The sequence below is a fragment of the Homo sapiens genome, chromosome 4, assembly GCF_000001405.40.
Source record: "Homo sapiens chromosome 4, GRCh38.p14 Primary Assembly".
In the NCBI taxonomy this organism is placed as follows: domain Eukaryota; kingdom Metazoa; phylum Chordata; class Mammalia; order Primates; family Hominidae; genus Homo; species Homo sapiens.
The window spans coordinates 99901905-99918482 of NC_000004.12; the positions used below are offsets into that span (position 1 = coordinate 99901905).

General features: G+C 34.4%; 1 protein-coding gene across 5 annotated transcripts in view; it reads right to left on the bottom strand.

The window, feature by feature from the left end:
* The window catches only part of DNAJB14 (DnaJ heat shock protein family (Hsp40) member B14), a 50371-nt gene that overhangs the window by 5657 nt on the left and 28136 nt on the right, over positions 1–16578 (bottom strand). For 4 of the 5 annotated variants that reach the window (NM_001278310.2, NM_001031723.4, XM_047416185.1 and 1 more), the window contains 4 exons: positions 6807–6992; positions 4613–4707; positions 3693–3802; positions 1822–1994 (listed from right to left, as the gene is read on the bottom strand). In NM_001278310.2, coding sequence (NP_001265239.1) covers positions 1822–1994; positions 3693–3802; positions 4613–4707; positions 6807–6992 — 564 coding nt within the window. Of the gene's footprint in view, positions 1–1821; positions 1995–3692; positions 3803–4133; positions 4250–4612; positions 4708–6806; positions 6993–16578 lie in introns of those variants that run through there. The other variant, XR_938772.3, reaches the window with a different exon arrangement.

Here is a 16578-nt window from a genome sequence, read left to right on the forward strand (position 1 = left end):
AAGACATCTGGTTTATATGGATTAGTCAAGATCACATTCAAGATATACTCACAGTTAAGACAGTATTCCATTTGTAAAGATCTCCAGAAATAATCTTTACTAAATCAACTGGACTAGGATTAACAACTCAATCAATATTATCCTATGCCTTTTATTTACACATAATGCGCTTATATCTATTTACAGATGACTCTTCCCAAAGAAGAAATTTGAGACTTAGATAAACCGAAGTTCACACTGCTAACGAATGGCAGAGTCTAGATTCCAGTCCAACTCTCCAATGCCTAGCCTAATATTCTTTCCATTATTTCAAGTACTGCTTGGGCTGGATAATTTTTTTGTTGTGGGGGGTCTGTGCATTGTAGGATGTTTAGCAGCATCCCTGGCCTTAACCCGCTAGATGCTAGTAGCAATCCCTTTCCATTCCCATCCCATGATGACACACAAAAGTATCTCCAGACGTTACCAAACATCTCTAGGGATGGGTGGGGTGGGGGAAGGGTGGCAACTCACTCCCAGCTGAAAACATAAAAATCACTAGTCTAATGTAAGCTTCTCCACACTGAGGACAGACTGATTTCACAAACTCATTGAGTTAGAAGTCAAAGAGGTCACATCTCTAACTGCCACTAAATAGAGGAGAAAACCAAGACCAGAGAGGTTAAGGACTCTCTTAGAAGTTACATTTTATCAACTTTTCCCTAGCAAGGGGGAGATGATGATAATTGCTGACATTTTCTGAGCATTCACTATGTGTGAAGTACTTTATTGCCTGATTTAATTTTCACAACAAACCCCATAAAGTTGGTTATTTCTGAGAAGACGTTGGAGCACAGGGCCTGGATTCTAGAGACAAATTGTCTGGTTTTCAATCACAAACGACCTCTATGACCTTGGGCAAGTTAGTAATCTCTCTTTGCTTCAGTTTCTTCATGTGTAAAATAAGTATAATCTCACAGGGTTGTTGTGAAGATTAAATGAGTTAATACTTACAATGTGCTTGGGACAGTGACTGAAACAGGCATTATATAAATGATAGCTATTATTTCCTCCTCCCACTCATCATCACCCATTTTACACATGAAACTCATAGAGGTTACAATTCGTCAGCTAAAAATTTCAGAGCTAGGATTCAACTTTACTCAGTTTAATTCCAAAGTCAGTTCTCCTAACACTACACTATATGGTCTACATTATTATTCACAACAATGGTCACAAAAACAAGAACCACAACACTCAATTCACATGCAACATCTCAGCAGATTCTTATATCAATCTTTATAGATGGAACTGTTCCTTAAATTAAGAAAACTGAGGCTGGAAAAGCCTAAGCAAATGAAGTGTTCTGAAGAGTCTCTCTGTGTACAAAGTAAAGAAAAAAGAAATGTCAACAAAACTCATTGTACATTAAATTCTAAATACAAAAGCTAAATTAATAGAGTTTCAAACTTAACTCTGAAAACAGTATGCATCTTAAAATTGATGACATAGTTTATCTGCCAGGATATTTTTTGTTTCTTGGTGGTACATAAAAGAATGATGTGTCTTATGATGGATATTATCAATACAATAAAATTTGGTATTACTTATTCAACCAAATATTTATTGATAACAATAGACAAGTACCATTTATTAAGTCCTTACTATGTGTCAATTCCGATGTTAGGCCACATGTATATAAAACACATGATCTCATTTAAGTACTGTGCTCCAATTATGTGCCAGGGAATTCCAGAACATTCCTTGAATAGGGAAATCTACATTAATCAGTTCCAAAGACTGCGAATAAGTTTTAAAATGTTAAACACATGACAAACTTACTTTGTTGTCTTTCTTTCCAGCAGTTATTTCGAATATTAGTCACATAATCTTCCTCCACACTCTTTTCTACCTTTTGTAATAACATTCCTTTATATTCATTTTTGAAGTCCTTGTTGACATAATAAACAACACCCAAGTTTTCTGTTTGCATTTTAATAGTTTGCCCAGTTCCACTGTAAAAGAGATGCATCATTATTTTAATTAAAATTGGACATTCCAATATGCTGCTATAAACCAAGCAAACAAAAACAATTAAAAATCATTGAAAAGTTAATATTGGTAATACAGGTTGAGCATCCCTAATCCGAAACTCTGAAATCCGAAATGCTCTAAAATCTAAGACTTTCTGAGCATCGACAAGATGGCACAAGTGAAAAATTCCAAAGCTGACCTCATGTGATGGGTCACCTTTTAATCAAAACACAGCATCATAGGTGGAAACTAAAAGCCTGTAGTTGTTTGTCGTTGCTATTGTTTAACAGCTGACACGGGTATTCTGGTGATGCTAATATGCTGGTGGTTATTTAAACCTGAATACATTATTTTTTCACTGTTAAATACTTATATGTGAATTAGAGTAAGAAAATTATTGCTTATCAGTAGCATATAAATTCAGAGTCAGGAATGATGCCAAACAACCACAGGTTGTCCACATGGGTGGCTGAGATAGTGATACCTTTGCTTTCTGATAGTTCAATGTATACAAACTTTGTTTCATGTACAAAGTGACTAAAAATATTGTATAAAATTACCTTCAGGCTGTGTGAATAGGGTATATATAAAACATAAATTTCATTTTTAGACTTGGGTACCATCCTCAAGACATCTCATAAAATATATGCAAATATTACAAAATCTGAAAAAATCCAAAATCCCAAAATCCAAAACACTGCTGGTCCCAAGCATTTTGGATAAGAAATACTCAACTTTTAATTTATTTACATTCTCTCACATTGCCTAAAACCATGATTTCATGTCACAAAAAGTAACCACATTTTTAAATATACTATGCTTTTGTAAAGTATCTCAATTTTTTGTTAATAAAAATCTTATTTGTATTATAAATTACAAAAATCAACTTGTAATTTATTTACGTTATCTCAAATTGCCTAAAACCATGATTTCATGTCACAAAAAGTAACCACACTTTTAAATATACTGTGTTTTTATAAAGTTATCTCAATTTTTTGTTAATAAAAATCTTATTTGGAAGAAATAAGGTAATTGTTATTTTTAGACCAATGTGATTTTAATACTGTAAAATCACTGATTTTTATTATTTTTTCTTTATATGCTTCTTATTTATTCATGCTGCTATAACAGCCAATATGATGTTATAGTTTCCTTTATGTTCACTGTATTAAAGTTGTCTAGATTGCATGCTGTATTAAATTTCCTTTATGTCCTGACCTCTTACACATAAAGTATATGGTGAAAAAAATACATCATAAAAAAGTAATATTTGCTTTTATTTAATCGATATTTTGCAAAATGAAGAGTAAAGTCATTTTCCCCTTAATGATATAAATCTATGTAACATCAATCATTGCTCTGTCTTTAGTTTTGTCCTTTAGAGTATTTTTTGCCTTTAATGTCAACACATTACCTACCACATTAAATTGTTATCAAGTTCAAATATAGCATTTCTGTCCTTATCCACAGTGGAAGAATAGAAATGTAAATTAACAACATAAGACAAATTTATTACTTAAAGTAACTATTTTAAAAAATTAGATAGAAATTTAAAATCTGGTACACTTGCAGTAATAGATTTGGCACTTAAAAGTTTAAAAGAGCACAAGCTCTTTAAAGGAAGCTAGGTCAGAAATAGCAACAATTCATTTTTTGTAAAACTTCACTTGGCTACTTACGATCTGGGATATAAGGAATAAGGAGGATTAGAGACCATCAACTGGCTTAATAATGACACGAGGATCAATACAATTATGGGCATCAGCTGGATAAACACAGAAAAACCTCCCTATAAAAAATGATCAAAGAATAACAAATTGTAATATAACTGTAGTTGTTAATAATACAACAGTTGTCATACATTTTGAGGCAGAAAGCGCATTTGAGATCATCTAGTTCAGTGCTTTCAAATCTGCGTAACCATGCCAATAGGATGATTCTTAAATATAATTATCCAGGCATATCACCAGGAGATTCTGATTTGAAAAACACTGATAAAATTTGATTTCATTTTATAGATGAGGAAGTCTTCATTTCTTTCTCTTTCTCTTTCCCGACTCCCTCCCCCCCACACACAGAGACGCTATCAATATGCTGCAGGCTGTAAAACCATTTTTTACCTTGGATTTGAGGGTAGAAGATGGGAGCTGATGAGTGGCAAAGCTGGGGGCCAGGCCTTTTAATTTCTAGTCTAGTGCTCTTTCCATTTACCTTTCCACTTCATGTAATTAAATTGCTATAGGCAATTAGGTATAACTGCATTAGAACAAGGAAAGTTACCTCCAATTCAAGTTTTTCAGTACTCTAAATTCTTCAGGGCCAACAATAACAAGTTACCTTCACAACATGCATAGTGCAGGTGTACCTTCATTAGAATCATAGAATAACAAATCTAAAGGGGTCATACTATCCAACCACCCCTGGCTGACCTCTCTTCCTATTCCTACAATGTCCCTAAGGATTTTCTAGTCTCTACCAAACACCTCTAGTAAGAGAAAACTCATTATTTCCTACAACTACTTGCCCTCTTTTCAGACAACTCTAATTACTTTTCCTGAGCTGAAATTTGCCATTTTGTGATTTCTAGTCATAAACGTACATCTCCTCTTTCCTCTTCTCTTTCATGTCCACTATGTCGATGCTGATGTTGTTGGCTATAACCAGCTCTTCCATTTGAAAAAGAATGTACACTACCTAAAAAATTAAAAGCAAGGTTAAATTAGGGAGAGCAATTATGATCAGAAAAAATACATTTTCTTTCACATTTTTCTTTAATTTTAAAAAATTACTAAAATAATGCATGTGTATTTTCAGTAGTAAATACTTATTGCCCTCTCCTCTTGTAAGTGAAGGGTGGACAGAAATAGGAATGATTCTTCCCAATCTGCTTCCGTTACAGGTAGAAGTTCCTTCTTTATGAAAACTTGACTAAGAGTTTCTCTACACACATAGAGGTTTTTATAAACCTCTTTTGTTTATGATTAGTTGTGATTAGTTGTTTTTATAAATGTTGGATTATTACTTTGAAACTTTGCTTTTTGCATTTATCAATGAATCATAAACATCTCTAGAAATCAAAAGATAGTGTTCAAATTCATTTTTAAAAAATAGCCCTATAATATATCTTGGTATAGATGGACCAGAATTTATTCAAACACTCTCTTGCTGATAAACATTCAAGTTGTTTTCATATAAGATGACCAATCAGAAATGGCTACCATTGACAAACTATGTTATAACTAGCAAAATAACTGCAAATCAAGTATCAGAAGAAAATTTACTACTGCCTGAAAGATTTCTGATTGTTCCTAGTATACTTCCAGTCAAAATTACTAGTTTTAATAATTTTTCTGTAATTATGTATTCTAACATGTCAAAACACAGGTTATATTTTCAGTCATTAATTTGCATTTATATATCCTCTTTCCTTCAAGGATGCTTTGCAAAACGTCCTATCAATGACCACAACCTTGCCAGGCATGGTGGCTCACCTCTGTAATCCCAGCACAGGATTTGGGAGGCTAAGGTGGGAGGATTGCTTGAGGCTGGGAGTTCAAGACCAGCCTGGACAACATAGCAAGACCCTGTCTCTACAAAAAAGTTTTAAAAAAATTAGCCAGACATGTGGTACATGTCAGTAGTACCAGCAACTTGGGAGGCTGAGATGGGAGGATTGGTAGAGCCTAGGATTTTGAGGCTGCACTGAGCTATGATTGCCCCAGTGTACTCCAGCCTGGGCAACAGAGCAAGACCCTGTCTCTATTAAAAAATAGAAAGAAATGACCACAACCTTTCTCAATAATATTCAGAGAGGGCCACCAGGTCCAATTATACTGCTACATTCATGAAGATTCTCTTAATGTTGAATGGGATTTACTTCAGCACCTGAAGTAAATTTTGTAAACAAGACTAAAGCTATAATTTTAAGTACCTTAGAGGAGCTACATTCAAGGAAAATAGATTTCCACAATAACAACTCACAGTACAGTAAGTCCTCACTTAACGTCATCAAGAGGTCCTTGGAAACTGCAACTTCAAGTAAACATGATGTACTATATGCCTTAGCAATTTAACTGTTGTTTATATCAATTAGCCTGCGGTAAAATTAGTTGTTATACAGAACATTGTTTCACTTACAGTCACAGTTTCCAAAAACCTTATGTTAAGTGACCACTTACTGTAAATGTAAGTGGAGTTTGATACTATTTATGTTGGTACTATAAAATCTTAGTATCACTACAATATTTCACTTTGATAGTCTAGTTAAAGTTAGCTATTTCTATTTTAATGTAAACTTAAAAATCCACTTACTTTGTATATAACCTATGAATCAGATTTTCTACTGTTTAAATGGAAATAGAGATGAGTACCTCTACATATATCCAAATTAGCCAACTATAATGTTATTGATAAAATATTTACAAAGATCTCTAGGGAAGCAATGTCAAATAGTTATCCAGGTTTAAGTAAAGAAAACCATTCATAATTATAATAGTACTTACCTAAGACATTGCCATTACATTTCCTGCTTACATTCCCTTTCAGCTTTATATAAAATACAGAATATCTGTACTCTTCATTTTTTTAAATTAAAATATGTTCTAGGAAAAAGGCAGGCTATTATAAAAGTAATAACCCTAATATTTTTCTCCTGCTTTCATGAAAAACCATTACAGGATCGTAACACTACAAGAAATGTAGGGGAAAAGGTAGATACATCTCTAAATAACGTTAACTGGAGGTAAGACTATGTAGCTTCATAAAATATAATATCTATAATTACATTAAAATACCTGAAGGAAATCCACCCCCAAAAAATATATTAAACAAGTCTTCTGGAGTTATATCAGCTTCACAACCTCTATGGAAATTAAATCTGCCATTGTTTTGGTGGTTACATGCTTGTTCTTCATTGCCCGTGAGGTCATACTGTTTTCGCTTTTCTGGATTACTTAAAACAGCATAAGCATTTCCAATCTCTGAAAAAGTAATGAGTAAAAGTTGGTAAGCAAAGTTTTTATATTATAAAAGGCTGCCCCACATAAAAACTAACATCATGCTGAAAAAAAGACTACCTAAAACTATCCAGAAAATTGTTAAAAATAAGTTCTTTTAAAGATATACATTGTTTGCAATTACATATATTATCTCTCAACACAACTTTTTATACCAGACAAGTCTCTCTACTGCCTTGAAAACAAAGGAATATCCATCTTCCTTTTTTAATATTGTGCTCCATCTCCTAAAATCCTGCCTCTTAAGCCATTCTTCAAGTGGTTTAAACCAATAACAATAGCAGTAGCTATCATTTATTGAGTACCTAAGAACTGCCAGGCTCTGCACCCAATACCTTATTACATTGTCCATTATTATCCTCACTTTACAAATGAGGGCCCTGAAATTCAAGAAGGTTAAATAACTCATGCAAAGTCAAATTATTCTTAGCACGATAAATACACTCTCTTTATGCAGCCCATACCAAAAATCTTTTTTTGCACCCTGGAGCCTGAATGAGCTATTTTTTCATTCTATTATCCCAAACAATTTATCCCCTAAAACAGTAAACTCCATAAAGACAGGGACTGTGTTTATGTTTTCATGGCAATATCCCCAAGGTCCAGCATAAAGTCTGAATTAGTTTTTAAATAAATACAGACAGTCCTCAGTTTTTCTATTTCACTTTGCTACCTTCACAACATTTATTTATAAAAAAGAATTCTCTTTCCCATCTCACAGTCCCAAATCCAAAAGAGGTAATGTTACACTGGTTACCAGAATTTACTTAAAACAGCATAAGCATTTCCAATCTCTGAAAAAGAAATGAGTAAAAGTAGGTAAGCAAAGTTTTTATATTATAAAAGTCTGCCCCACATAAAAACTAATGTCATGCTGAAAAAAAAGACTACCTGAAACTAATCCAGAAAATTGTTAAAATTTACAAATTTACCAATTTACAAGTTGTAATGCTTTGAATCTAAAACTAAGAACTATCCTATTCGTACTCTGACACTTCTAATAGTTAATCACTTCATAAATACATCTTGCTTCTTAAACTAGATTGTAAGCCTCTTGCAATACAGAATATTTTAAAAATAGTTTTTGGATCCCATGTGGTGGCTGCCATAGGTACTGTACAAGCAAACAGATGCTCATTAGGTAGTTGTTTTTGGATGATTACACATTACACTGAAATTAATTATATACAATACTCTGGATATTTTCTTCTAATCGAGCTTCTTAAAACTGGGATTCAGAGATTGCTTTCAAATGGTGAGTATACCCTGCTGAATGAAAAATTAGGTGAATGATCCATCTATCTGAGGAGATACTTTCTTCAGATTCTCAAAGAATCTGTGACTCAGAACTGTGGCCATCATTTATGAGTTATTTCAAAGGGAAAGTATAATCAAAGATCCAAACAATGTACTTACAAACAACATCAAGGTATTAACTCATACCTAAAAAAAGAAGCATATCTATCAATCTCTGCTAAAATTGTATTTTTAGTAACAATATCAATTTTAGGATTTAACATCTATAAACTAAAAGGGCTATCCCATGTAATGCAATAATGCTACTTTAATAGTTTTAATACTTTAAAACTATTAATATATAGGCAACCCAATTCTATTTTAAGGCTTCCTTTTTTAGAAAAAATAATTTCTAAACATTAAGATATTTTAGATGGTATTTGAGAAATACTGTCATAATCTATAATTGTACACATAAGACAATTTATATATTGTGGCCAGAGTAAATTTCTATTCATTTACTTTGTGCTATACCCATATAATCAAGATTTTTTTGCAGTTCCTTATTATCTAAATAATTATATCCTAAATTTATTTTGGTATTCATAAGTTTTACAAAACGCATTTCTACCTCATTGTCACTTATTTCACCAAAAGGTACCTTCCACTTCATTTATTTTTCTTTAAACTTTTAATACACAGATCCACTGTACCTTTCCCCTAATTTTTCCCAACAGTAATATTTTGCAAAATTATCTTACAATATCACAAACAGGATATTGACACTGATATAGTCAGGATATAGAACATTTCTAACACCACTCTCATGTTGCTCTTTCATAACCACATCCAACTCCTCCTCCCTCCCTTCCCAACCCCTGACAACCATTCATCTATTCTCCATTTTGACAGTTTTGTCATTTCAAGAATATTATATTAATGAAATAACACAGTATATAAATGGGATATTATATGATATATAAATGGAATGAAACCTTTTGGGATTGGCTTTGTAAATCATAATACTCTGGAGATCCAGGTTGTCATATATGCCAACAGTTCATTTCTTTTTATTAGTGAGTAGTAGTCCATGGTTAAGGATGTACCACTGTTTAACCATTTACCACTGAATAACATCTAGTTTTTTTCTAGTTTTTGGCTATTACAAATAAAATTGCTATATATATTCATGTACAGGATTAGGTGTAAACATAAATCTTCATTCCTCTGGAATAAATCCCCAGGAGTGCATTGCTGGGTTGTATAGTAGCTGCACAGATTTTTGAGAAACTGCCCAACTGTTGTACAGAACAGCTGTGTCATTATATATCCCATTAACAATGTATGAGTGATCCATTCCCTGCATCCATACCAGCATTTGGTATTGTCATTATTTTTCACTCTAGCCATTCTGATAAATGTGTAGTGATATCCCATTTTGGTTTTACTTTGCATTTCTCTAATGACTAATGAATGACAGAGAAAATCTTTCACTGTGCTTATTTGCCCTCTGTATATCATCTTCAAAGGAATGCCTCTTCATTTTTTTGCCCATTCTAATTGGACTGTCTGTTATTTTACTTTTGAGTGTTTGGAGTTCTTTATATTTAATATATTCAAGATACCTGTCCTTTGTCAAATACGTGCCTGGCAAATCTTTTTTTCCATCCTGGAGCTTCTTTTCATCCTCGTAATAAGGCAGAGCAAGCTTAAAAAATCTTAAAGTCCAACTTAACAACTTTTCCTTTTATGTACTGTGCTTTTGGGATTAAGTCTTAAAAAATCATTGCCTCACCCTAGATCCTAAAGATTGACTCCCATTATTGTTGATTGTTATGTTTTATATTTACATTCATGATCTATTTCGAGTTCATTTTGTGTATAAGGGATGATACTTTTCGTCAGGGTTAATTTTTTGGCCTATGGGTGTCCAATTGCCTCAAAACCAACTGTTGAAAAGGCTATCTTTCCTCCATCGAACTGCTTTTGCATCTTTGTCAAAAAACAGTTGGCTATATTGGTATCAGTCTATTTCTGGGTTTCCTATCTCGTTCTATTGATCTATGTGTGTATCTCTCTGCCATTACCACGCAGTTTTGTTTACTGTTTATCTATACAGTAAATCCTGAAATCAGGAACACTGATTACTCCAACTACATTCTTTTAACAGAAATAAATGTTTTTAAATATTCAGGTTCTTTCTTCCCCTCATATGAATTTTAGAATAAAACTTGTTTCTATCTACAAAACAAATCCTGCTAGGATTTTGACAGGAATTGTGTTAAATCTGTATATCAATCTGTGATGACTTGACTTTTTTTTTTTTTTAAGACAGAGTTTTGCTCTTGTTGTCCTGGCTGGAGCGCAACGGCGCGATCTCGGCTCATTGCAACCTCCACCTCCCAGGTTCAAGTGATTCTCCTACCTCAGCCTCCTGAGTAGCTGGGATTACAGGCATGCGCCACCACGCCTCGCTAATGTTGTACTTTTAGTAGAGATGGGGTTTCTCCATGTTGGTCAGGCTGGTCTAAAGCTCCCGATCTCAGGTGATCTGCCCACCTCGGCCTCCCAAAGTGCTGGGATTACAGGTGTGAGTCACCGTGCCCAGCCGACTTGACATCTTTACTATGTTGAATCTTCCCATCCATGAACATGATATTTCAGTCCATTTATTTAGCTATTTTCTGATTTCTTTAATCAATATTGTATAGCTTTCAGTATATAAATGTGATAAAAGTTTTATTAAACTTACACCTAAGTATTTTTTTGTATGTATGATTGTAAATGCTAATGTATTATTAATTTTAGTGTCTAAATATTCATTGCTAGTAAATAGAAATGCAATTAATTTTTTGTAGATTTATATTGTGTCCTGCAATCTTACGGGATTTGCTTTGTAGTCACAGTTTTTTCTGTAGATTCCTTGGATTTCTACATAGATAATCATGTCATTTGCACATAACAACAGTTTTAGCTCTTCTTTTCCAGTCTGTATGCCTTTTATTTCCTTTTTCTCTCTTTAACGCAGTGATTACTACTTCCTGCACTTTGTTGAATATGAGTGGTAAAGAGATATTCTTGCTTTATTCTTGATCATAGGGGAAAAGCATTCAGTCTTTCACCATTTAATGTTAGCTTACAGGAGTTCTGTAGTTGCTCTTTATCAAGTTGAGGCAGGTCCCTTCTATTGCTATTTTTCTGACAGTTTTTATCATGAATGGGTGGTGAAATGTATCAAATGCTTTTATTCCACTGATTAATATAATCGTGGGATTTTTTTTCTTTAATTAATGTGGTGGATTACACTTATTGATCTTCAAATAGTGAATTGACTTTGCTACCTTGAAATAAACTTCTATTGTTTGGGGTATATAATTCTTTTTATATACTGCAAAATTCTGATATTTTGTTAAGGACATTTGGGTTTATCCCACAAAGTATACTGGTCTGTAGTTTTTTTTTTTTTTTTTTTCTGTAATGTCTTTGGTTTTGATATAAGCAAGGTAAAACATTTCTTAACATTAACTGGAAAATGTCTCTTCCTCTTCTATTTTCTGGAAGAGATTATGTAGAATTAGTTTTAATTCTTCCTTAAAAAGTTTGGTAGACTTCTTCAATAAGAGCATCTGAGCCTGGATATTTCTTTTTTGGGAATTTCATAATTACAACTTTAATTCACTGAACAGTTCTGTCTTAGTCCATTTTGTGTTGCTATAGAAAAATACCTGAGACTAGCTTATGGTTCTATAGGCTGAAAAGTTTGTGGGCATAGCCTTGGCTTCTGGTGAGGGCTTTTGTGCTGCATAACATGGTGGAGAAAATCAAAGGGGAAGCAGACAGGTGCAAAGAGGGGAAAACCTGAGGGGTGTCCTGGCTTTATAACAACCCACTCATTCGGGAAATAATCAATTCCTTCAAGAACTAATCTAGCCTCAAGAGAGCAAGAACTTACTACTGTGAGAACAGCAGCAAGACATTCATGAGGGATCTGCCCCCATAACACAAACACTTCCCACTAGGCTACACCTCCCAACACTGCCACATTGAGGATCAAATTTCAATATACTGAACCAACCCAAATGTCCAACAATGATAGACTGCATTAAGAAAATGTGGCACATATACACCATGGAATACTATGCAGCCATAAAAATGATGAGTTCATGTCCTTTCTAGGGACATGGATGAGGCTGGAAACCATCATTCTCAGCAAACTATCGCAAGGACAAAAAACCAAACACCGCATGTTCTTACTCATAGGTGGGAATTGAACAATGAGAACCCTTGGACGCAGGAAGGGGAACATCACACACTGGGGCCTGTTGTGGGGTGGGGGGAGTGGCGAGGGATAGCATTAGGAGAAATACCTTATGTAAATGACGAGTTAACGGATGCAGCACACCAACATGGCACATGTATACATATGTAACAAACCTGCACGTTGTGCACATGTACCCTAGAACTTAAAGGATAATAAAAATATATATATAAAATAAAAAATAAAAATAAAAATTAAAAAATTTCAATATACCCAAACCACAGCAATTTCTACAGGGCTATTCACGTTATCTATGTCAGACTGAGTTGTGATGATTTGTATTTTTCAACTAACTGGCCCATCTCATCTAACTTGTAAACTTATGTATATGGAATTGTTCATAGTATTCTCTTATTATCCGTTTGATGTCTGCAGTGATATCCTTGTCTCTGACACCATTTCTGACAATGGTCATTTCTGTCTTCTTTTTTTGGTCAGTCTTTCAATTTTATTGATTTTTTTCAGAGAACCAGCTCTGTTTCATTGATATTCACTATTGTTACTCTTTTCAATTGTACTGATTTCTACTCTTATAATTTCTTTTGCTTGCTTTGAGTTTATTTTGCTATTCTTTTTCTAGATTTGTAAGGTAGAAGCATAGATAACTGATTTGAGGCTGTTCTTCTTTTCTAACATATGCATTTCATGTTACAAGTTTCCTCTCAGCATTCCTTTAGCTGGTCTTCTCAAATTTTAATTGTTGTATTTTCATTTTTAGTTAGTTCACTGCGAGCTCCGCCTCCCAGGTTCATGCCATTCTCCTGCCTCAGCCTCCCGAGTAGCTGGGACCACAGGCGCCCGCCACCACGCCCGGCTACTTTTTTGTATTTTTAGTAGAGATGGGGTTTCATCGTGTTAGCCAAGATGGTCTCAAATTCCTGACCTTGCGATCCACCCACCTCGGCCTCCCAAAGTGCTGGGATCACAGGCGTGAGCCACTGTGCCTGGCCAAGTTAGATCAATATGTTTTTTCAAATTTGTTTTGATATTTCCTGTTTGACCCATGGATACTTAGAAATTTGTTGTTCAGTTTCCAAGGACTGGACGTTTTCCTATTACCTTTGTGTAACTGATTTCCACTTTGATTCCACTGTGGTTAGTGAACATACTTGTATGATTTCAATATTTTAAATTAGTGGAGGTTTATCTTATGAATCAGGATATGGTCTCTCTTCCTGTGTGTTCTGTGGGCACTTGAAAAGAATTTGTAGTCTGCTGTTGTTGAGCGGTATGTTGTATAAATGTTGATTAGATCTTGTTGAGTGATGGTGGTGTTTAGTTCTTCTATATTCTTGTTGATTTTCTGTCTAATTGTTCTATCAATTATTGAGAGAGAGGTGTCAGAGTCTCCAACTATAATTGTGACTTTGTCTATTTCTTCCTCCAGTTCTATTAGTTTTTGCTTTACATATTTTGCAGCTGTCTTTCGGTGCATATACATTTATGTCTTAAAGGACTGACCCTTTTATCATGTATGTGTTCATAATGTACTTCTCTGGTAATTTTTTTTACTCTAAAACCTACTTGCTCTAATATTAATATAGCAACTCCTGTTTTCTTTTGATTAATATTTACATGATATATTTTTTCAATCTTATTTTTATTCTGGATATAGTGTTATCAAATAATTTTCTTGTAGACAACATACAGCAAAATCATGTTTTGTTTTTGAAACAAGGTCTCGCTCTGTTACCCCAGCTGGAGTGCAGTGGCACAATCACAGGTCACTGCAGCCTCAACCCCCCAGGCTCAAGTGATTCTCCCACCTCAGCCTCCCAAGTAGCTGGGATAACAGACACGTGCTACCACATCCAGCTAATTTTTTAATTTTTTATAGAGATGGGGGTCTCACTGTTGGCTAGGTTGATCTTGAACCCATGGGCTCAAGTGATCCTCCCACCTTTGCCTCCCAAAGTGCTAGGAATATATAGGCATGAGCCACTTCACCTAGTGAAAACATGCTTTTAAAATGCATTATGCCAAAAGACTTTTAATTGGCATAGACAGGTCACTTACATGTAATGTAATTACTGATAAGTTAGGGTTTAAGCCTGCCATTTTATTTTTTATTTTCTGTTCTTTCATTCCTGTTTTCTTTTTCCTGACATCCTGTGAGTTAGTTTCTTGAACATTTTTTAGAATTCCATTTTGACTTATCAACAGTGTGTTCTGAGTATATATCTTTGTATAACTTTTTAGCGGTTGCTCTAGGTATTATATATACATTATATATACATAATTTATATGTGTTATATATACATAATTTATAACCCTCTGGTGTCATCATTTTGTTAGTCTGAATTAAGTACAGAATCCTTACCTCCCTTTACTTCCCTTTATCTTCCTCCATTTAAAACATAATTGCCAGCCGGGCGTGGTGGCTCAAGCCTGTAATCCCAGCACTTTGGGAGGCTGAGGCGGATGGATCATGCAATCGAGAGATAGAGACCATCCTGGCCAACATGGTGAAACCCTGTCTCTACTAAAAATACAAAAAAATTAGCTGGGTGTGGTGGCACATGCCTGTAATCCCAGCTACTCGGGAGGCTGAGGCAGGAAAATCGCTTGAACCTGGGAGGCGGAGGTTGCAGTGAGCAGAGATTGCACCACTGCACTCCAGCCTGGGTGACAGAGACTACGTCTCAAACAAACAAACAAACAAACAAAAAATTGCCTTATATATTTTCTTTACATACATCTAAAACCTTATCAATGTTATAATTTTTGCTTCAAATATCAAACATAATTTAGAAACTCGAGAAGCAAAAGTATATTGTATTTAACCATATTTTTGCTTACCATGTGTCTTAGTCCATTCAGACTACTATAACAAAATATCATAAACTGCATAGTTTATAACCAAATCTATTTCTCACAGCTACAGAGGCTAAGGCTTAGATCAAGACACTGGCAGACTCAGTGTCTGGTGAGGGCCTGCTTTCTGGTTCACAAATGGTTCCTTCTAGCTGTGTCTTCACAAGGTAGAATCCGACCTCCCAAAGGCCTCACCTCCTAATACCATCACATTTGTGACTAGGTTTCAACATATGAACTTTGGGGCACCACAAATAATACCAGAGTACCATGTTCTTTCTCTCCTCTTGATATTTCAAGATTCTTTCCTTTATTGTGTCCTTTTGTTTAAAGAACTTCCTTTAGCTATTCTCTTAGGTTGTATTTGCTCTTGACAAGTTTTCCCATTTTTCCTTCATCTGAAAAATGTCTTGATTTCCCCTTCATTCCTGAAAGATATTTTTGCTGAGTATAGGATTCTAGGTTGACAGTCGTTTTCCTTCAGCACTTGAAAAATGTGCCACTTCTTTCTGGCCTCTGTGGTTTCTGATGTGAAATTTGCTGTCATTTAAATTGCTTTTCCCCCTATAGGTAAGGCGTCATTTCTCTTTTGCTGTTTTCAAGCCTTTGTCTTTAGTTTTCAAAAGTTTGACAACGATGTGTCTTGGTGTGGCTTTCTTTGGGTTTATCAGTTTGGGGTTCATTCAACTGGAATCTATAGGCTTCTATCTTTTGCCAAATTTGGGAAGTTTTCAACCTTTAATTTTCTGAGTACCTTTTCAGCTCTGCCCTCTTTCTCCCTTTCTTCTAGGACACCAATCACCTAAATATTAGATCTTTTGCTATAGTCCCACCTGTCTCTGAGGCTATGTCCTTTTTCATCTTAGCTTATTTTCTATGTTCAAATTGGAAAACATCTATTTTTCTATTTTCTAGCTCACCAATTATTTCCTCTATCTGTCCATTCTGCTGTTTATTCTAGTCATTGATAGTTTTTGTTTATTTTTGAGTTGTAAAATTTCTATTTTGTTCTTTATACTTTTAATAGCTTTGCTCAGACTTTCTATTGCTTTGCAGAGATTCTTTTAAGTTTATTTGTAGTTGCTCATTGAAACATTTATATGATCATAAACATTTATAGAGTTTGAGATATTCCTGGTTCTTAGACTGACAAGTAATTTTCAACTGAAACTTCGTAATTTG